Source organism: Homo sapiens, chromosome 3 (assembly GCF_000001405.40).
Source record: "Homo sapiens chromosome 3, GRCh38.p14 Primary Assembly".
In the NCBI taxonomy this organism is placed as follows: domain Eukaryota; kingdom Metazoa; phylum Chordata; class Mammalia; order Primates; family Hominidae; genus Homo; species Homo sapiens.
In genome coordinates, this window is record NC_000003.12 from 154,085,718 (window position 1) to 154,109,244 (window position 23,527).

The window sequence follows — 23,527 nt, forward strand, 5'->3', positions numbered from 1 at the left end:
GCCCTAAAAACACTCTATACACTTCTAAAAGCAGTTTTAGCAGAAGTAGAAAACAGAGCCAGTTTATGCAGAGCTGGCTTAACCTTTTTCCATTTTAAGAATGATGTGAAATAGAATTTAACATTAAACATACACGTGTTTTGCACACTTTGGAAGGAGGGAGTGTGAAAAGCACTGCTGAATGTATCAGACTGATAGCAGTCCGAGATTCTGCCTGATTCCATCCTGACATACAGCTTATAGCGTCAGGTAGTAGGAGAAGAGATTTTGGGGGAGTGGCTCAATCCACATTTTAGCATAGATAGTCATCCACCTCAAAATAGCCAAACAGTCAGTCACTGTCACTGTCACCAGGCCTCAGATAACTGGAGGAAGTTGTAAATTTCTTGAAGCCCATGCTGAATCTCATTCGTATTGTTTTTTCCCTCCACCTCTCATTGAGATCCAAGCACAAAATAGGTGCTTAATAAATGTTTCCTAAATGGAACAATAAAATACAGTTCTCAACTTAGTTTATTATCGACTCTTCCAAAAACATATCATAGCAGGCAAGCTATTTCTCTAATCCATATTGTCTCAATTGGCCCAATTATTATAAAACATTATCTTTTCATTTATATATATATATGTTCTTTTTGTCCTTTATTAAATATATAATTTTCTTAATTTCCCACAATTATTTTTCACTAACACAAAAAGGAATAAAAAATGAAAGAATAAAAGAAGTGAAAATTATGATAACCAAAGAAGGAAAATGCTTACATATGCATTTTAGAAAAAATATGCCACTTATAGTTTCATATTTAAGCTTTTTCATGACGTTTCTGAAGACTTATGTACATTTTTCCATATTTTATTAAAACAAATAATATATGCTAGATTTCCATGGTTAATAAACCAGCAACTTAAAATAGTTATTAAGCCCTCTCTGTAGCTCCATTGCCCAGAGACACTATGGATAATCTTGTAAAAACAGCTTGTTCACCATAGCTTGTAAGCATGATCTGATAATATTGCACCTGCCTGGCCTTGGGTCCAGATTTCAAGTTTGCACTCAAAGCTTCCTGGCAGAAGAAAAAAGCTAACACATGTCTGGCTTTACTACAACATGCTCTCCCCACTTTGGGCTGCCACTCTGACTTCTGTTTCTCCCTTAATTCTTAAGTCCTTTTCAAAGCCTTTTTTACTCCATCTCTCTCTCTCTCTCTTTTTTTTTTCTTGAGACGCAGTCACCAGGCTGGAGTGCAGTGGCATGATCTCGGCTCGCTGCAACCTCTACCTCCTGGGTTCAAGTGATTCTCCTGCCTCAGCCTCCTGAGTATCTGGGATTACAGGTGCACGCCATTATGCCCAGCTAATTTTTCTATTTTTAATAGAGACGGGATTTCACCATGTTGGCCAAGATGGTCTCGATCTCTTGACCTCGTGATCCACTCGCCTTGGCCTCCCAAAGTGTTGGGGTTACAGGCGTGAGCCACCATGCCCGGCCTTTCTCCCCATCTCTTAATGCTTCATTTCTGTAGGTCTAGGTTGGGTATATTCTTCCCATGGTCTAGCTGTTGGCATAGAGAATCATAGCAGTTGAGGATTCTCACTCCTCTACCTAAGTAAGTTAGCAAGTATCTTGATGATCTTCATCCCCTTTGTGGCCACGGTAATACCCTGACCATCATCCTTCCATACACCTAGAAAAACTAGCTTTCTCCAAAATTCACTAACCTTTCTATGATTGCAAAGCTTAAGAGTTAGAAGCATTAAGTCTGGAGTTAGACTGTCAGGTTCAAATCCTAACTCTACCTCTTACCTGCTGTATGACCTTGGACAAATTAGCCTTCTAAGCCTTTGTTCCTCACTTGTATCATGGAGATGATGATAAAAAAATAATATTGATGTTAAAGGTTGTTATGAGGATTAAATGAGACAATATATATAAAGCACCTGGACAATAGTGTACAAAATAAGTTCTTAATAAAGCTATGACTGTTACCATTACCTTTTCACCTCGCATTTTTTAGGGTATGTATTGAGAGTTACAGATTCACAAGATTCACAAATGCAAGAAACTTGAAAATCAACTGGTCCAGGGTTAAAAATACTCAAATGCCTACAGGGCCAAGACAGGCAATATGATTGATATTGAGAGGTGACAGTGTGCTGGCAGCCCTCACAGCCCTCACTCACTCTCGGCACCTCCTCTGCCTGAGTGCCCACTCTGGCGGCACTTGAGGAGCCCTTCAGCCTGCCACTGCACTGTGGGAGCCCCTTCCTGGGCTGGCCGAGGCTAGAGCCAGCTCCCTCAGCTTGCGGGGAGGTGTGGAGGGAGAGGTGTGGGCAGGACCCAGGGCTGCGCGCGGTGCTTGTGGGCCAGCGCGAGTTCTGGGTGGGCGTGGGCTCGGCGGGCCCCGCTGGCCCCAGGCAGTGAGGGGCTTAGCACCTGGGCCAGCAGCTGCTGTGCTCGATTTCTCACCAGGCCTTAGCTGCTTCCCTGTAGGGCAGGGCGTGGGACCAGCAGCCCGCCATGCCTAAGCCTCCTCCCCCACTGCCGTGGGCTCCTGCGCAGCCCAAGTCTCCCCGACGAGTGCCGCCCCCTGCTCCACGGTGCCCAGTCCCATCGACCGCACAAGGGCTGAGGAGTGTGGGCACACAGCACAGGACTGGCAGGCAGCTCCATCTGCGGCCCCGGTGTGAGATCCACTGGGTGAAGCCAGCTGGGCTTCTGAGTCTGGTGGGGACTTGGAGAACCTTTATGTCTAGCCAAGGGATTGTAAATACACCAATCAGCACTCTGTGTCTAGCTCAAGGTTTGTAAATACACCCATCAGCACCCTGTATCTAGCTCAAGGTTTGTAAACACACCAATCAGCACCCTGTGTCTAGCTCAGGGTTTGCGGATGGACCAATCAGCACTCTGTATCTAGCTAATCTGGTGGGGACTTGGAGAATCTTTATGTCTAGCTAAGGGATTGTGAATACACCAATCAGCACTCTGTATCTAGCTCAAGGTTTGTAAATGCACCAATCACCGCTCTGTGTCTAGATGATCTGGTGGGGACTTGGAGAATCTTTATGTCTAGCTAACGGATTGTGAATACACCAACTGGCACTCTGTATCTAGCTCAAGGTTTGTAAATGCACCAATCAGCACTCTGTGTCTAGCCCAAGGTTTGTAAATACACCAATCGACACTCTGTATCTAGCTAATCTAGTGGGGACGTGGAGAACTTTTGTGTCTAGCTCAGGGATTGTAAACGCACCAATCAGCACCCTGTCAAAATGGACCAATCAGCTCTCTGTAAAACAGACCAATCAGCTGTCTGTAAAATGGACCAATTAGCAGTATATGGGTGGGGCCAGATAAGAGAATAAAACGAGGCTGCCCCGGCCAGCAGTGGCAACCTGCTCGGGTCCCCTTCCACACTGTGGAAGCTTTGTTCTTTCGCTCTTTGCAATAAATCTTGCTGCTGCTCACTCTTTGGGTCCATACTGCCTTTATGAGCTGTAACACTCACCGCGAAGGTCTGCAACTTCATTCCTGAAGCCAGCGAGACCACGAACCCATTGGGAGGAACGAACAACTCCAGACGTGCCGCCTTAAGAGCTGTAACACTCACCACGAAGGTCTGCAGCTTCACTCCTGGGCTTGCGAGACCATGAACCCACCGGAAGGAAGAAACTCCGAACACATCCGAACATCAGAAGGAACAAACTCCGGACACGCTGCCTTTAAGAACTGTGACACTCACCACGAGGGTCCGCGGCTTTATTCTTGAAGTCAGTGAGACCAAGAACCCACCAATTCTGGACATAATATGATTGAAACAAACTCGCAAGTTGAAGGACAGTAGGGAGAACTGTGGTCACCTGGCTAGACAGCACTCTAGCTGCTACTCAAGGTGAAGCGCATTGCTGTCATATGAGATCAGGAGCCTGGTATTACCAGATTTTCCAGTTTTTCAAGAGAAGCTAGAAATCCAGATTTGTATGTTATTCCAGTGTATAAATGTCGACAGTCAATTCAAACTCCTATAAAATGCTTTATTGGTTTAAAAAAATGAAGCATGGCAGCTTTTACTTTACAGTCTCTAATCTAATTGCATCTCATTTGAAAAGTGCGAAAATAGAATTACCAAAAAAGTGCTATATGCCCAAGGGTGCACACAACTACCTAATGGCAAAACTGATAAAACTCACATCTCCCAAGTCTGACTCCAGGGACCTCTTATGTCCTTCCCTATGGTGCTTTTTCGCCCTTCACATCTGTTTCTAATCTGCAACTAAATGCTGTTATTTTTGTACTCTCCACTCCATTCTCATGGTCATCACACTCACTGGGTTGCAGTTGTATCATAAACTTCTCACTGGAATTTCTGTCAATCCGATTCACCTTGGTTTGTTTGCTAAGATCAGACTAACCTTCTTGACATTAACCCTCACACCCCTGCCCTAAATTCTTAAAGAATTCCTTATCACTACTGCATCAGTGCCAAGTACCCTGGACTGTCATTCAGTCATGTGGCCTCAAGTTGGTTTCCTTTTGCTTTCCTCAGGCCTCTGCGGCTGGCTGGTATCCTGGCTGCTCCTTGAACAAGCTGGGTCACATTAACTCAGCATTTCCTAAAGTAAGATAAAAACAATAGGAGCGTATAATAAAACAAGAACAAAGAAACATACGTTGGTTGTGTTCCATGCCAATGCATTCTTCTTAAAGTATATAAAAGATAAAGAGAAAAACTTTAAGAAAAACACATAAAGACAGATGACCTGCAAAATAATGATAATTAGACTCATTACCCACAACAGAAGCTAAATAACAATGCAGTCATATTTCGAATGTTTATGGAAAATCTTGAATTTTAGACAAAAGCTGAAGTATTTCTTCCAAGCCTAGAAGAAAATACTTTTTTTTTTTTTTTTTTTTGAGACGGAGTCTCGCTCATTGCCCATGCTGGAGTGCAGTGGCTTGATCTCGCCTCACTGCAAGTTCCGCCTCGGAGTTTCAAGTGATTCTCCTGCCTCAGCCTCCTAAGTAGCTGGGACTACAGGCACGCACCACCATGCCCAGCTAATTTTTGTATTTTTAGTAGAGATGGGGTTTCACCATATTGGCCAGGCTGGTCACGAACTCCTGACTTCAAGTGATCTGCCCGTCTTGGCCTCCCAAAGTGCTGGGATTACAGGCATGAGCCACTGCATCCGGCCAAAAAAATACTTTTTAGCCTCACAAAAGATCAGTGTGCCACTCACAGATCTTCCCTAAAACAATTTTAAAATTATTTCTATTACAGCAGGACAAATTACCACAAATTTAACATCTTAAAACAACACGTATTTATTATCTCACAGTTTCTTTTGGTCAGGAGTTCAGATGTATCTTAGCTGGGGTTTCTGCTTCAGGGTTTCTCACAGGCTATAATCAAGGCGATGGGCAAGGTGCATATCATCCAAAGGCTCAGCCAGAAAGTGAGGTCACACAAGTGTTGGCAGGATTTGGTTTTTCTATGTTTTGAACCGAGAATCTTAGTTCCTTGTTGGCTGCCAGCCATAAGCTACCCTCAGTCCCTTATCACATGGACTTCTCCATAGGATCACTCACAACATAGCAGTATCCTTCATAAAAGCCAGCAAGGGAGTCTACTAGCTAACCAGAAGTTACTGTCTCTTGCAACCTAGTCATGAAAATGACAATCCATAACCTTTGGTATGTTCTATTGGTTAGAACCAGACCAGCCCACACTCAACACAAGGGAATTACGTGAGGGCATAAGGACTGGAGGTCAGCTTAAAGTCAGTCCACCAAACCAGAGCAAGAGAAAAACCCAGAAAAAAAGACACGGATTATAAGAAAAATGGTTTTTATGTAATCTGTTTGATATTTGGTGCCATAGGTGGTTATACTTCTTTTTATAAGTCTCTCTGCACCTCCTAAGCTACTTTTTACTTATTTTTGCCATTATTATGTGAAAAATCACATTATTAGTGCACTCCAACTTGGATGAGCAAAGCATTAAGGACTTAGGTGTTGTGACAGGTGCTCCTTTCACAGTTCTCACATACTTAGATGGTACTTCAGTGTGTTTAAATGAGAAAGAAAGGGAATTTATGGCTCAGGGTTACAAAAAGGTACTGAATTGAAATAAGCTTGATGCTCTTAAGGAAAAATGCACAAGGCATATGCACGAGAATCAGCACAGGCAACGGCTTCTTCCATGGGAGCGGGGTGGGGAAGAAGGAATGGAAGATTTACTTCCTGTCTGGTCCCACTGAAACTGCAGGAAGGGAGGCAGTTTTTCCACTGGTGTTTGGCTGGAGTAGGGCAGGTATTGCCAAAAGGCTTTTCTGCTGTTAGGTCATTCTTTTCCCAATCCTCCAGCAATGGGAATAGGCTTTCTTGGAGCTTTTTGTCTTAGGCCTACTGGCAGCTCCAGTTTGCAGACAACAACTTCTCAAGATGATGTGAAAGGCAATCAAGAAACCTAAGCAACTCACCATCATGTCATCCTTCAATTTTCAAGGTCCCTAGACCATCTGCCTTATTCTTTCTACATTTTTGAATCTTCCTATGCCTGTTTGTTGTATTGTCTCTAAGGTTTTTCGGTTCTAGGATGGAGAACCTGGGAAGAATGGGGCTACCCCATGTTGGCTGGAACATGATCCATATTTTTAACTAAGTGTAACAAACTAATTTTAAAAGAACACATTTGAGATAATTAAAGGAATTTGAGTGTCAACTAAGGATAAGATGATAGAGGAATTATTTTTAATTTGATTTAATTTGGTTTGGTGTGATAATGGTATTGTGATTATATAATGCCTTTAAATACAGATTTTTAAAAATCATTTTTCTTTATTCTTTGGAGATGTTTCCTGAAGTATTTTAGGTGAAATTACTTGACATCAGGAATTTCCTATAAACTATATCTGCAAAAATGTTTCTAAAAATTAGAACAGGAGAGAGAAAGGGGAAAAAAGAAAACAGAGGCCAAGCGCAGCGGCTCATGCCTGTAATCCCAGCACTTTGGCAGGCTGTGGTGGTAGGATCATGTAAGCCCAAAAGTTTGAGACAAGCCTAGGCAGGATGGAGCAACCCTGCCTCTACAAAAATAAAAACTTAAAAATTAGCTGAGAATGGTGGTGCATGCCTGTAGTCCCAGCTACTTGGGAGGCTGAAGTGGGAGAATCCCTTGAGCCCAGGAATTCCAGGCAGCAGTGAGGTATGAGGGCACCAGTGCACTCCAGCCTAGGTCAAAGCAAGACTCTGTCTCAAAAATAAAAAGGAAAAAAGAATGAAAAAAGGGAGAAGACAGATACAACAAGCAAGAAGCAAGTGTGTTGAGACGCTGGTAACTGTTGAATCTGGCTGATGGCTAAATGGGAGTCATTACACTATTTTTTCTACTTTTGGGTATGGCTAAAAATTGTTATAACAAAAAGTTTTGTTAATTTAAAAATCACTCTAGTAATATTATGAAGAAAAGATTGGAAAGGACAATCTAAGAATTGGGGATACCAGTCAGAGGCAACTTTAGTAAACCCACAAGACGTAATGGTCGTTTTGACTAGGATGATGGCAGCTGAGAGGGAAAGAAGACAAAAGAGTGAGCAAAAGATCTGGGAATTCATGACAATGGTTTGGGAAAAATATTTGAAGGAGGATTAAGTATCAAGTATGACTGACAGGTATCTGGTTTGTGTTACCTGTGACAGGAAAGGTGGGAGAAGATACAATTTTGGTGCAGATAGGTGAGTAGGGGGGAATTTGGCTTTGAATATGAGAAACAACCAAGTGGAGTGATTTAGGCAGCATGCAATATAAAATCTTAAGCTTAGGAACAAGGTCTAGATTGGAAGTGGTACAGCATTGGAAGTTGTTACATAAATGTTATATGAAACCATAAGAATGGGTAGGAGAGTTTAACATAAAGAGAAAAAAAGGGCTTAGGACAGAGCCCTTGAGAATCTGCAAATCAGAAAAAGGTAATTTTTCTTAAAAGTGGCCAAGCCACAGGAGAGCCTAGCATCCAGTTCTTAGTTTCTAAATGCCATTTGTTCATCAGTTAATTAATTAGATGTGATTAGTTAATAAGTAGGGTGTGCCCTTAATCCAATCTGACATACTCTTATAAGAAGAGAAAGGCCCAGGCGTGGTGGCTCACACCTGTTATCCTAGCACTTTGAAAGGTCAAGGCAGGCCGATCACTTGAGGTCAGGAGTTCGAGACCAGCCTGGCCAACATGGCGAAACCCTGTCTCTATTAAAAATACAAAAATCAGCTGGGCATGGTAGCACCCACCTGTAATCCCAGCTACTCAGGAGGCTGAGGCAGGAGAATCACTCTAACCCTAGCAGGCGGAGGTTGCAGTGAGCCGAGATCATGCCACTGCACTCCAAACTGGGCGACAGAGCAAGACTCTGTCTCAAAAAAGAGAAAGAGAATATCCACTCATAGGAGAAATCCTGCATAGGCTCTCAGAGCTGGAACGAGACAGTGAACAGGCATACGAGCCACCAGACACAGAGTGCGATGCCTGGCAGGGAAAATGTTCATTGGCAACATTTAGACAAGTTGATTAAGTGAATATATGAAGGACTATAAGAGCCAAGTTTCTCACTCGCAGAAAGGGGAATTAAAACAAAGGAAAAAAGACAACTAGAATTAATTCTGTGATGAACAGGAACTGGAGATATTGACAATAAACTTATGCATTTCAATAAATATAGATATAGAAATAAACATAGGTGTGTGTGTGTACATACGCATACATCTATTCCTTAGCTTAGTTTTCTGAGAGACAGCAGGAGTATCTAGTGCCGAGATCTTGTTTCTAAATATTATTCGCTACTAAAAGGAAGCAGAAACTTCCTGGAAAAAATGGCAGATTCCAGGGCTGGAGGAAGGAAAGTACAAAATGATCAATTTTTGTGCTGAAAAAGTAATAGAACGTGTCAAAATCACACAGACATCAACTTGCAGGGGTTCTCATTGGCCAAACTGGAGGAACTCTGAACATTAAAATAAATAATGATATTAAGAAATTATAGTTTATGGAATAAAATAGAAAATATGAACCCTAAGAGATATAAGTAAATGAATAAATTGAAAGTTTAATGAAGAGCAAGATATTTACATAGTCTTAAAGAACTCCCAACAAAATACTTCTAAAATTATACAGTGAAAAAGAGTAACTTTACAGTGAAGAAACCTGGCAGACACCACCTTGATCAAGTAATAAAAGTGAAAATATCAGTAATGGGGGAAGTTAAAATCATGTGCACCTGACAGGATGTATTGAGAACACAGCATCACTTCTGTGATATTCCTGCCAATGATGTGTCACCTAAATATAATCATGAGAAAACTTCAGACACATCCATACTGAAGATTGTTCTTCAAAATAACTGGCTGGTATCTTAGGAAGTATCAAGGTCATGAAACTGGGGAAAAAAACTGAAAAATTTTTCTAGAGTGGAAGAACCCTGAGAGAAGTAACAATTAAATGCAACACATGATCCTGAAATTGATCCTTTGGTAAAAAAGAACATTATTGGGACAACTGAAATAAAGTCTGAGGTGTAGGTGAGAGTAACATATTAATGTTGGAAAACACATATTAAAATATCCAGGGAACACAGGGCATTATATTGGTAACTTTCTCTTAAATGGTCCAGAAAAAAAAGTTCTTTGCACTTGCAACTTAAAGTCTGTTGATTGTTTTAACTTTTTAAAAAACTTTTTGCATTTGAGGAACACTTCAAAACACAGTATAGTGCAAAATGCCAGGCTCTAGAAGATACAATACCTATATACAAGGCATTTACAACGGAGCAAAGGATTGAGACATGAACACTTGTATACCTGGTAAATCAAATTGAGCCAAGGATCAAATTTGACTGAAAAATTTTAACAGAGTTCTTGCCATACCACATTTCACAACATGTATTAAGGAAGGTTAATATTCCTTAAAAAAATTGCCCTGACTTGATCCAACTGATTTGCAATACTGAATATATGTATTCTTTATACTTCAATCCAATCCTCTGGTAACTGACTAGGGTGAAACTGAAGGCATGGCCCAACAAAGTGAATTTATAAGTGAAGAAAATGGAGCTCCAGAGAACAAAAATAAAGAACTCTTTGTTTTACACTCACTATACCTAGTGCCAAAGTAGCATTTATTTTCCAAAGTAGCAATCATCTCCCACAAAAAACTAATTTATAAAATAGAAGAGGAACCTGGAGTAAATTTGTTACAATGCTTTTCAAGACTCCTCATAAAACAACAGAAGAAAATGATCACTAGAGGGCACAGCTGTGTTGCTCTGAGACATGTATACATAAGGAAATTTCTTCAATTTTATATCTAAATGAATTTATACCATCATTTCACTTTTGAAATACAGTAGATAAGTGAGTTCATTTCCAACAAGGTGGGTGCAAGGCCTTGCCTGATACAGGTGATTTAGTGGCAGGGAAAAAAACGCTGTCAGAAAATTAAGACATTCTCTCATCTCCGGATTGCAATGTCATTTATATTTTTTTCTGGTTCTCAGGTCGTATCTATCATTTTGTAGCATTTAAAATAGGACAATGTGTCTCCCCATGTTTAAGTTGAATTTCATTATGAAGAAGCCTTTTTGCATTGTATATTATGTTAGCCAGCACTGCAGACACCATTCCCTTGCTGGCTGCTTTCCATTTATTTAAACCTTTGGCTTTTTACTGAGACTTAAATTTGAAATTTTCTTCTTTTAAATAACATCATCAGTAACTCAGAGTGATCACTTCTATGCCACTCTTACTGTTGGATAGTGAAGTTGTGAAATCTTAGTGCCTAATATTCTGTAGAATTTTTTCTTTTCAGTTAGGTCTCCTCTTCAATCAAGCAATGATGAACAAGATTTTTCTAGGATATTTAGCAGCCTGTGGTATGTGATGTGTGGAAAGTGGGCTGAAAGCCGTTCCGCTGTCAATGCTACATACCCCATGTCCACCCACCTGACACCTCTCTACTCACACTTGCCTACTCTCCCACATACAACTTTCCCTGGTCTTTCTCAAAAATAACTCACCCAAAAACACTGGTTAAGCATCTGAGCAATGCAAGGTGGAATAGAAAATGGTAAAAATTTATGCACACATAAGAGCCTTATAATCTAGTTAGAAAGGCAAAGCATAAAACTACAAAAATGTTGCTAACACATGGCTGTTTAATGAACAACTAAAATTATGTGTTTAGGGGATGCAGTGGCTCATCCCTGTAATCCCAGCACTTTGGGAGGCCGAGGTGGGAGAATGGTAAACCCAGGAGTTGGAGACCAGCCTGGGCCACATGGCAAAAACATATCTCTACAAAAAAAAAATACAAAAATTAGCCGGGTGTACTGGTGTGAACCCGTGATCCCAGCTATCCGGAAGGCTGAGACCAGCGGATTCATTGAGCCAGGGAGGACGAGCCTGCTGTGAGCCGTGATAGTGCCACTGCAATACAGCCTGGGAGACAGAGTGAAACCCTGTCTTTAAAAAAAGTTTTAACAGTCTATATTCTAAATTTCCAGAACAGTATCAATATTCTGACTCACTGTCACTTCATGTGTTAAAAAAAAAATTTAGCATAGTATTTAACTTCAGTATCTTTGGGGGCTCTGAATAACTGGATTAGAATACAAGTTTTGTCAACTGTTACGTAAATTCAGATTTCTCATCTGTAAAATGGGAAAAGTAGTGCCTATCACTTAGAGTTAATAAGAAGATTTTATTTTCTAGGATAACATACAGCAAGTAGTTAGCGATAATGGACAACTACATCATTGTCATATGTCAAAGTATATGTTCAAAAACTTTTATTGGAAAATTGTATTATTGTGGCTACATTTCAGGTACCATGCAAAACTCTAGATAAAGATGAATCACACAGCCATTGCCTTCAATGAGCTTACCATCTAATATTAATACTAACATTAGTATTATAAATATGGAATAGTATATATATGTCACAAATGTATATAAACATAAAAATACATATCCAGGAGGCTATTCCCAGATTTGTTTTTTACCACTGGGTGCATGAGCAACAAATTAAGACCATTGACAGGTATATTAACAACTGGTTATTGCACTGTGTTAAAAGATTCTGCTGTCATGGTGTCAATTAAGTGTTATGGGAGCCCAGAGATGCATGATACATCTGGACACTCTAAAGTGTAGCTCAGGATTCATCATTCAGGAAAATACAAGAACAAAATTTCAAGCAGATGTAACAAGCATGGGCTTTGGGTAAGACAAAGCTGTGCTTAAATACTGACTCTAACACTTTCTATCTGTGTGACAGTGTGTGTGTGTGTGTGTGTGTGTAAACACTACTACCCACCCCAGGGCTGCCTGAGGATCTTTTTTTAAAAAAAATTAAGATAATATTCATTAGTTCAGTGCAATTCTCTTGCTGTAGGTCTCTTTTCCCCTTCTTGTCTAAGGAGGATGCTCCTAACTAGATGTCTCTGTATACACCAGGCCGGCAAAGCACAGAAGGGTAACTGGAGTTCTAAATTCTTTCGTTATCACTGCTCCAAAGTTGTTTGTGGTTAATGCCTGGATTTCAGCCCCTCATAACCATTCACTTTACATGGGTTTCTGAAACCTGCTGCTTACCTACATGGACTTCTGATCTTCTGTCTAGCTCTGAACTATTACTATCTATTGTAAACATTTCTTGGTTTTTGTACTCCCATGTCTCCCTAATCCTGCTTCTCCCTGCTACTGGTAGCAGCACTCTCATTTCCTTCGGCAACCCATCTATTTTTCATTCAGTCTGTGTGGCTCTGGGACTCCAGCCAATCATAAAAATGTGTCTTCCCGGCTAGAGAAATTGGGTCCAGGATGGAGTACAATGCAAGTCAAAGAGAACCAGGCCCAAGACTTTTATTGGAACTTAGCAGGGCACACTTTCTCTTTCTTCTAGTTTTGGAGCTGAAGTTGCCAGAGGCCACCATTAAGAAAGCACCTGACTGAGAGTGAAGCCAGTGGAGTAAAGTATAACCAAAAGACAGTAATTTAAAAATAGCTTCCTGAGGACTTTTTTAAGGGCCTGGATCCACCAATACCTGAAGCCAGTAGATGTCCTAGATTTTTCAGCATATAAGCCAATAATTATTTTTCCATTAAGCCTGGTTTTGGGCTTCTATCACCTGCAACTGAAAGAGTCCTAATACCTCTGAAGCGTGTTGGTCAATGCAGTCTTCTAACTTACTTCATTTAATATTGGCTGCCTCTGCCTCTCTAAACCAAAGTTCCAGCTTTACTGCCATCATCACTGACAACTGAATTTATTACAAAGTACAGAACAAACTCACCTGCTTTCTCAGATCTGTTACATCTATACTAATCATGTCAATCTACACTGTGCTTACGGATTACTTCTATACTCTGAAGCTTATGGTAAAACCAAAATAAGTTCAATCCATCAATTCCCTACTATATTTGAAGGGCACAGCCTTTAACTACCGCCTCATACAATCTTAATGCTACTACCACTAATAATAATAACAGTAAGAATAATAGCTGAAATTTATCCAACATCTGCTGAGTAACAGGCATTACACCATTAGTGGGTTGTGTTTTGTGGGCTGCAATTATTATTTTTTTTTAAATGGAGTAGGATGGAATAGAATTAAGTAAATTATAATGAAATGCAGTGAAAAGAAAATATCAGATTGCATCCAATAGGCCAGGCATGGTGGCTCACGCCTGCAATCTCAGCACTTTGGAAGGCTGAGGCAGGTGGATTGCTTGAGCTCAGGAGTTCTAGGCCAGCTTGGGCAACATGACAAAACCCAGTCTCTACAAAAAATGCAAAAATTTCCCAGGCATGGTGGCACATGTCTTTAGTCCCAGCTATTCGGGAGGCTGAGGTGGGAGAATGACTTGAGCCCGGGAGGCCAAGGTTGCAGTAAGCCAAGATCATACCACTGCACTCCAGTCTGGGCAACGGAGCCACACGACTCTGTCTCAAAAAAAAAAAAAAAAAAAAAAAGGCAAGAATAAGTATTGGTTTGCAAATTTTTCTCTTCATTTATATTGTGTGTCTATGTGTGCATATATGTGATGATTTATAATAGGAACCATATGCCACTTATGGATAAGGAAATTAAGTTTGGAGAAAACAAGTCATATGGGGAACGTGATAATACCTACCATATAGAATTGTAAGGATTAAATCAGATAATATAATTGTCTGATAGATAACTGAGCATAATGAAAGTTAATATTAAACCATTTCAGAAGTTTTTTCATGTAACAATATATTAACAAATTTCTATTTCTTTATATAGTCTTTTACAACAGCATTTTAAATGTCTGCAATGTATTCCTTTGTATTTGCAGTTATTTCTTTGCTTGACTGATCTTATACTATGAGACACTTAGGTTCTTTTCATCTTTTAACTACTTACAATAAAAACTAACAGTGGCTGGGCACCGTGGCTCACGCCTGTAATCCCAGCACTTTGGGAGGCCAAGGCGGATGGATCATGAGGTGAGGAGATCAAGACTATCCTGGCTAAAATGGTGAAACCCCGTCTTTACTAAAAATACAAAAACTTAGCCAGGCGTGGTGGCGGGTGCCTGTAGTCCCAGCTACTCGGGAGGCTGAGGCAGGAGAATGGCGTGAACCACGGAGGCAGAGCTTGCAGTGAGCTGAGATCGCACCACTGCATTCCAGCCTGGGTGACAGAGCGAGACTCCGTCTAAAAAAAGAAACAAACAAACAAAAAACAACAAAAAAAACTAACAGCTTATGGCAACATCTTCTGTATAAATATTTTCATAGGATAAATTCGGAGAAGGGGACTAGCTAAGTCCAAGGGCATACATGTTGTAAACTCAAGTTTAAACCAATTTGCGCTTTACCCCAGCAATTGCTCTATTGCTCTAAGTCTCAAAACTCTGTCAAGAGTTTTGAAAGAACTTAAGAATCCATTTGTAGGGCAAGATACTGCTGTCATGGTAAGACCAACAAACAACAAAGCTGGCTTTGTGCAAACCTCATTAAACCATCCCCATGCCTGATCTTCAACTCCCTCAACCTCATCCCGTCTCCACGCTTGACTCACTCAGCTTTGTGTCTCTCTTAGAGCACTCCTAGTTTCCTCACGTAAATAACTATTGCTGCCACCATTGGATATACTCTCTGGAACCCGACAACGTCTATCTCCTGAATGCATAGGAATTGAGCAGAATCTTATTCTATTTCCCAAACACAATCATACTGAGTGCAATGATACTGACTGCTTGATTGCTTCAGCAGACTCTGATAGGTATTATTTGTAAACACCCAATACTCTTTTCCATACCTCTTCTTTTAGCAGCATCCCTGTCCTTTGCCAGTCCTTTCTTTTAAGGAACACCCCCCACCCTCCAGTTCCATGTAATACTAGTGAGTGCCCTTCATCGTAGTAACTCAACCCCTCCCCTAATGAGTAAAAACAAGATCCAATCTGAACCTATAATAGCAGCATATTCTTCTGGACACAGAAATTCGTATAAGGGACAGACATGGTACACAGGAAGGGCCAATCAGAGTCTCTCTCTGAGCTCAATATACAAATTTTGAGTGAAGAAACTCCGCTCCATTTGGCTACTAAATTATGATTATGACGTATGGTACTGCTTGGACCTATCTTCCCCAGATGTCTAGAGAAAGTTGTCTGCTCCAGAAGTAGTCCAATACACCCAGAGGACAGAGATGAGCAGATCAATAAATCTGATGACATCATTGGCCCTGCATTCAGCAGTGCTTGAAGTCAGCACCAACAGACTTCTGAGTCAAAAAAAACCAAAAAGTTGTTGGCCAAGGACAGTTTGATTGGTTTTCTGCTTCTAGTGATTAGAAGAGTCCTGACTGACACAGTTATAAAATGAGCAAAATTAACAATATATATCTTGAGTTCGGAGTAGGGAGGCATACAGTATGGAAATATTATATGGTAAATAGGGCAGGAATGGAGTTGAGCTGTAAAATAATATAAATAATAGTAGTTGTAAGAGAATGATGAATGCAAAATAACTCTAAGAAAGATACTCATTTTTAAAGGCAACATAATGAATTTAAATAAAAGAGACAGAGTGTGGAGACTCAGCTATGGTCTCAATCTACCTCTAGACAGCTACAGGTCCTTGGCCAATTCACATCACCTCTTAAGGACTTCATTTCCTCATCTAAAAATAAGTACACTGAATAGTTTAATTCTAGAATCTCTTATACCTCTAAAATCTAAGTTAACAGCCCAATAAAGTTATTGTGCTGTAACCTGTGTTTCTAGGAAATGCTATTTTCTGATTGACTTAGGCCTGGTTTACTGTCTGTTGAAGTGAGCAAGGGTGATATTACACTGCATGTGGAGGTGTAATGAAGCATATTACATTTGCTTTATTTTACTACTGATTTTTTTCTACTCATACTTAACAAGTCCAGGATTCAAATTTGCCAATTAAAAATATCATCTTTTTAAATCTTTTAGTCCTTAATAAAGACAAAAGAATAATTTTCCATTTTTTATAGTTTTATGTGCATATGGACTCTGCAGAGGAATTTCTGAAAAGTAGCTCTTGACCAAGCAGTTATTTCTTAGCCACAATTTACAACATTTTTGCCATATGGAGTCCAGGGTCAGTACTGGGTAAGCTCAATTGTTACCATATTGAGTTGCATGTGCACAGCGGGTGGGCAAGCTCATAAGCAGGGCCTTAGACAATGATTGCAGACTAACAAGTCTACAGAGGCCAAAGGGTACCTATGCATGCAAAATGGTCCAAAGAAGTCTGTAGAAACCTGGAAAATGCATGCCTTGTCTGAAGTAGGCAGCTGCTACTCAGCTCCAGTTTATTCTTGCCATGAGGGAGTGTGTGCTCAGCACTGCCAGAGAGTGTCTGATTCAAGGGAAGCCAGAAATCTATATTTTTTAATGCAAAATCTCCTGATTTTTAAAAGATTGGCAACTTATTCAAAGTTTTAAAAGTATTATGTGGACCAACAATGTGTGGTCCTAACGAAACCCATCTGTGATCTACCAGATTGTGACCTCTGCTCTAATAATTGTTCTAGAAGGGGTCAAACATTCAGAAGGAATGGTGGTAAGTCAAGGTCATTCATGAGCTAGATTAATTTTATGAAATGCTCAATGACTTCATCATCCATTAAAGTGGGTATTTTGGGACAAACACAGATGCCTTCTAAAATCACTGTGTGGTATTGTAATTGTGTCCTCACTAACCCCTCCTCTAATGTGTAATAACCATGTGGCTTGGATGGAACTGATTCCAATCCCACCCCACAATAAGAAATGCATTTTATTTCATTACTTGGTGGTGCATTTCTTAATGTAGTTTGCATTTGAAAATACTCAAGAAAAAGAGAGCTATAGAATCTATCATGCACATACCATTTCTGAGAAAATCTCAAGTGAATATTACAGTTGACTCAGTAATATAAAAAATATGGAACTGAAATGTTACTAAGCAAACTATAGTGATTATATCAGTCAAGGTTCTAGTTTGCAGAAATTAAGTTAATTTAACTTAAGGTAAATTTGAACAGAAAAATAATCTATTGGGAGTATATTAGGTACTATATTATTTATCTATTGCTGTACAACAAATTCCTGGTGATTTAAAACATCATTTATTGTCTCACAGTTTACATGGAGGCACAGCCTGCCTCCATATAAGACAGGTCCTCTGTCTTTGGATCTCCTGTACAGCTGCCATCAAGATGTCAGCTGCGGCTGCAATCATCTTAAAGTTCTTTTAGGTATGAATCTATTTCCAAACTCTTTCAGGTGGTTTCTGGCAGGATTCAGTTCACTGGGGGCCACTGGACCTCGGGCCTCAATTTCTCATGAGCCATTGACCAGTAGTAGCCTCCCATAGTCCTTTGCTACATGACTCATAGGGTGGAAACCACTGCAGCAGTCACTGAACACTGCACATCTCCTCCGGCGCTGCCAACTCAGCCAGTTCTGAACTCTAGATATCCTCTACAACATTATTTAGAATTAATGTCTAATTAGCTATTGACATAATCTGCAAATATTGTAAAAATTATGAAAGTAGCTTTTTAAAGAGATGTAAAATTAAAATAATTTATTATAATCACAAATAATAATAACCTGAAACTATTAGAAGAATGAACTTTTTTTATCCTACAAGGGGAGAATTAATAAATGATGGTATATACATTATTTTTAATCTTTTATTGTGAAAAATTTCAAGCATAAACAAAAAAAGAGAATATTGTTATTAACCCTCACGTATCTCCATCCAACACTGGTGATTATCAACTTTTTTTTTTTTTGGTCAATCTTCTGTCATCTCTTCCATACACTTTTTTCTGGCTAACATATTTTAAAGCATATTCCAACCAATATAAGTGATATGATATTGATGCTAATAAATAAGTGGCATTCAAAATTATTTTTTAAAAATTTAAGGTCATAATTAAATTTCTGTTTGTTAAATGTCTACTATATGCCAGACATCTAGGCAAACGTACAATGATAAGAATTTAATGTAATTTTTCAAGCTAAATCAGTGAGTGTTTATGTGTTAAATAACAGTTTTAAAATATACCTAATCGAATTTGTGAGAAATTCTGTGAATAGATTGAAAAAAATCAGACATTAATCTATGTCTCTCAGTCTTCTACAGAACAAGCTAACAAATATAATATACATTATATAATTTAAAAGCTTAGCATGTATATATATTGAGCTTTTTACACATAGACAATGCATATTCTTTTCAAAATTCATGATGCATTTTATAAAAGGGTTTCTTAATATATTCCAAATAGTACAACTAATAAAGGCACGTTCTTTGACAACAATATAATAAAAGTAAATATTTGTATGGCAACAAAACACAAATAATAAAGTCCACTTATTAACGAGAAATAAAATGTACACTATTGAGTCACAGAAATTCAAAGCATCAATAGCAGACTAATTAGAAAGCACCAGTGACCTATAAGTATGACAACACAACATTTAAATTTATGAGAAGTACTTACACCTTACTCCAAATAAAATGCATACTTTTAAATACTTTTATTATTCAATAAGCATTAATAAAAATAAGGCCAGGCACAGTGGCTCACACCTGTAATTCCAGCACTTTGAGAGGCCAAGGCAGGCGGATCACCTGAGGTCGGCAGTTCGAGACCAGCCTGACCAACATGGAGAAACCCTGTCTCTACTAAAAATACAAAATTATCCAGGCGTGGTGGCGCATGCCTGTAATCCCAGCTACTCAGGAGGCTGGGGCATCAGATTTGCTTGAACCCAGGAGGCAGAGGTTGCAGTGAGCTGAGATCGTGCCATTGCACTCCAACCTAGGCAACAAGAGTGAAACTCCGTCTCAAAAAAAAAAAAAAAAAAAAAAAAAAAGAATAAAAATTATCTATTCATTGCCTCTCAGCTCCAAATTTACCCTGCGTGATTGCTCTGTAAAATGAATCTTGGTCGGTCTTTGAAATGTTTTTTGCTTGCTGGCTGGCACTGAAGCTTTATCAGTAAAGAGTGTTGGAGAGACATTGTAATAGAAAAAGGATCTTGCTTCCTGGTTCTCGTGTGCTTATGAGGCAGGCTCCTAAGAGTGTGAGTGGGTGGCTTTTTCCAGCACCAGGCTCCTGAAGCACTCATAGCTTCTTGAGGGCTCAACTTTTGCAGTGCATGGCAGCCACATAACCTAGTGGTTAGCAGCCTGCCAGCTGCAGTGCTTGCAGCTTCTCCAAAGCCAAGCTCTTACACTGCAGTGGACAGCAGCACTCAGGGGCCAGAAATTCTCCCACTCCACCCCCCAACATCCCCTTTGCGTGCTTTTGTAGCAGAGTGAGACACCTTCCTGTGAACAATTTTTCCTAGCATACTAAAGGGCAGATTTCTGGCAAGTTTCAGAGAGCAGATTTCCAGCAAGTTCCACTGATGCAGCATCACAGAGACTTCTTTACCATCCAGTGAGCCAAGAGGGCATTCTCTCCAACAAGGTCAGATTCCAGTCCCAGGGATGGGGTGGGGCAGAGAGTGGGAGCTTCTTTCTTGGGTGCTCCATCTCAACCCGAGAGTAGTGGCTGTTCCTTCTATGTGCTATTCCTGTGTTTAATGTTCTCTTTACTTCTTACCAGCCAATCCCTAATTACTTTAGTGCCTTAATGTGGTTAATAATTCTTTATACTAAACCTTCCCTGTTCAAATTATGTGGCTTATCTCCCTCTTCTAATTGGATCCAGACTGATACAAACTATTCAATTCAAGAAATTAGAAAAAGAATAAAACAAAAGAAAGAAAAACAGAGGACATTACTAGTGATAAAAAAAACTTAGAAAAAAGAGTCAGTAGAATTGATAAATACATATAAGAAACCTTAAAAAATTGCCAAATTTAAATAAGCAAGCTTGTATGGCAATATTAATCAAATAAATAAAAGTGGCCGGGTGCGGTGGCTCAGGCCTGTAATCTCAGCACTTTGGGAGGCTGAAGCGGTTGGATCACTTGAGGTTAGGTGTTCAAGACAAACCTGGTCAACATGGCGAAACTCCATCTCTACTAAAAATACGCCTGTAATCCCAGCTACTCAGGTGGCCGAGGCAGGAGAACCACTTGAACCCGGGAGGCAGAGGTTGCAGTGAGCCGAGACTGCACCACTGCACTCCAGCCTGGGTGATAGAGTGATACTCCATCTCAAAATAATAATAATAATAATAATAGTAATAAGAGTGCACAAATGCAGAATATTAAAAGTAAGACAGAAAATAAAACAAATCTTAGAAACAGAGGTGATTAAGGCAGTTAAGAGAAGAATTCAATACATCTAAGAAAATATAAAAACAAAAACTGATTCAAGAAAAGCTAAAAAATCCGAATACAGAAATAACCCTGAGAGAAATAATAAAGAGCCATCCCACAAAAAAAAGCCTGGTTCAGGCAGTTTCACTGTGAAGTTTTCCAGTTTTCAAAAAGCAAGTGAGTCAGTCTTAGGCTCTTTAAACTGTTTCAGAGGGTAGGGAATGAAGAAAAGAGTATCCTCATTGTAACACTTCTGTAGGTCTCATAGTAAAGTACAGACAGTAATATCTGATGAGGCACTAAGATTAAGAGTAAACATGAATAAAGCAACTGGTTCAGTGATGTATACACTAAGAGAAAAGGAGGGAAAGAAACACTATTGTTGAGGTGCCTATTACTAGTGCCAAAATATCTACTGTAAGACATGCCCTCTGGGCAAAAGTGCTCCCAAAGAAAGTTTGGTTGCTTTTTTTTTTTTTGAGACGGAGCCTCGCTCTGTCACCAGGCCGGAGTGCGGTGGTGTGATCTTGGCTCACTGCAACCTCTGCCTCCTGGGTTCAAGTGATTCTCCTAGTTTGGTTACTTTTTAAAAAATAATCACAGCGTGAAATAGGCCTCTCTACAATATCTATAATAGGGGACAGTAATAAGAGTTAAAGAAAAACTATGAGAAGATGATATGGCCAATCCACAAAGAAAGGGAGGGACGGGCTAAAACACTCACTCTGAGTTAAGCACTATTTCTGGTGTGGTTCAAGAAAATACTTACTGAAATATTTGCTGTAAATCTGTACAGCAATGAGTGCATTAACATAGTCAAAAGACAACAAGCTAGAAAAACATTTGCAAGACATATAGCCAGCAAAAGCCTATTTTCCTAGATACTCAAGGTGTTCACATTGAATAAGGAAAGGATCAACCGCCCAACATAAAAATGCACAAAGGGTATGAACAAGGGGTATGAACAATTGATGCATGAAAAAATATATGTAAGTAGTATATACACACATACACACATCAAAGTTTTGGCTTGGAAAATTTCCTTTTGCTTATCAGAATTCTACTTATATCCTCAAGAAAGCGTTCTAGAGAGCTCCTTTAGCATCCCTAATTTGATGCTCAATGTTAATATCCCCTCTATTCATAGGGAAATACTAAAGGTTTCTTTAAACAAATAACATCTGCATGTGAAAAAGTTAATATTACCCAAAGTGAAACCAAAATTTTCTAAAAGTGAGATCTAAAAGTCATCTACTTCAACATCACCTGGCTGCTTTATAAAATGCAGATTCATGGGCTCTGCTGCAGCCCACAGAATAAAAATCATCTCAAGACCACAAGACCAGTGTGGTCTAAGCAGGAGTCGACCTTGAGTGCTTTGAAAATGCTTCTCGGCCGGGCGCGGTGGCTCACGCCTGTAATCTCAGCACTTTGGGAGGCCGAGGCGGGCGGATCACGAGGTCAGGAGATCGAGACCATCCTGGCTAACATAGTGAAACCCTGTCTCTACTAAAAATACAAAAAAATTAGCCAGGCATGGTGGCGGGCGCCTGTAGTCCCAGCTACTCGGGAGGCTGAGGCGGGAGAATGGGGTGAACCCGGGAGGTGGAGATTGCAGTGAGCCGAGATGGCACCACTGCACCCCAGCCTGGGCGACGGAGCGAGACTCTGTCTCAAAAAAAAAAAAAAAAAAAAAATTGCTTCTCAGGCAATTCATATGTTCATTTGACTGTGAGAATTCAGCCCCTGTGAATAAATAATAAATGTCTGCCTTTGTTTTGTATAGATTTTATAAGGTGTTTTTCATAAGCATTTTAAAATTTCACGCCCACACCCAGTCTGGGTGGTTGTCTGGGCTAGGAGTATTACCTCCACTTTCAAGATAAAGAAATTACAGTCAGAGAGATTTAGGGACTTATTCAAAGATTCATCTAGAAAATGGTAGAGCTCAGATTTCATTATATTTTCATAACTACAAGTTCTGTCTTTATCCATATGTAGAGCTCATACAAACCCCCTAAAACTCACATTTCTTCACATTTGCAGAACCAACTCACAGTGGTTCTTCAGAACAAAGTGACAACAACAGGTAGAAACAGCAGTAGTAAAGGATTACAAGTACCTTGGGAACTCACGGCTCCATGAGGCAGAAGTTGATTTCACAGATGTGGAAACTGATGGCCAGATGGTTGAATGGTTACACAGCTGTCCCTTCAAGAAGGAAGGGTCAGGAACATATCTATGATAGGGGACAGTGATAGGAGTTACAGAAAAACTATGAGAAGATGAGATGGCCAACCCACAAAGAAATGGAGGCATGGGCTAAAACACTCACCCTGAGTTGAGTGCAAGTTCTGGTGTGGTTCAAGAATAACTGAGCCAAAGACACTCAGCAGGAGAAGCAGCAAGACCAACATCAGTGACAATGACCCCAGGCCAGAGACAAGAAGCCAAGCACGTCACCCAGAGTCTCTGCCTCCATGGATTCTGTAGTTGGAGGACTCACATGTTTCTGCAGCCCCTTTCTTCCCAGATGCTTTAGAATCCCCACTGCAGCAGAATTTACTCTTGATCCACAGCCAGGCCTAAGAATCCCAGCATAAAGACCTCAGGAGAGATTCTGGTAGCCCCAGCTATAGACTTGCTCTTTGCTCCTTATGCCAGGGACTGTATGCCAGTGTCTGAATGTTTCCCTGGC

The 23,527-nt window shown here is 40.0% G+C and overlaps 1 long non-coding RNA gene across 1 annotated transcript in view; it reads right to left on the reverse strand.

Annotated features, from left to right (window-relative positions):
- ARHGEF26-AS1 (ARHGEF26 antisense RNA 1) overlaps positions 1–23,527 on the reverse strand; it is a 96,810-nt gene that overhangs the window by 61,317 nt on the left and 11,966 nt on the right. Inside the window, exon 2 of the long non-coding RNA NR_037901.1 lies at positions 22,952–23,068. This is a non-coding gene — a long non-coding RNA (ARHGEF26 antisense RNA 1). The remainder of the gene's footprint in view (positions 1–22,951; positions 23,069–23,527) is intronic.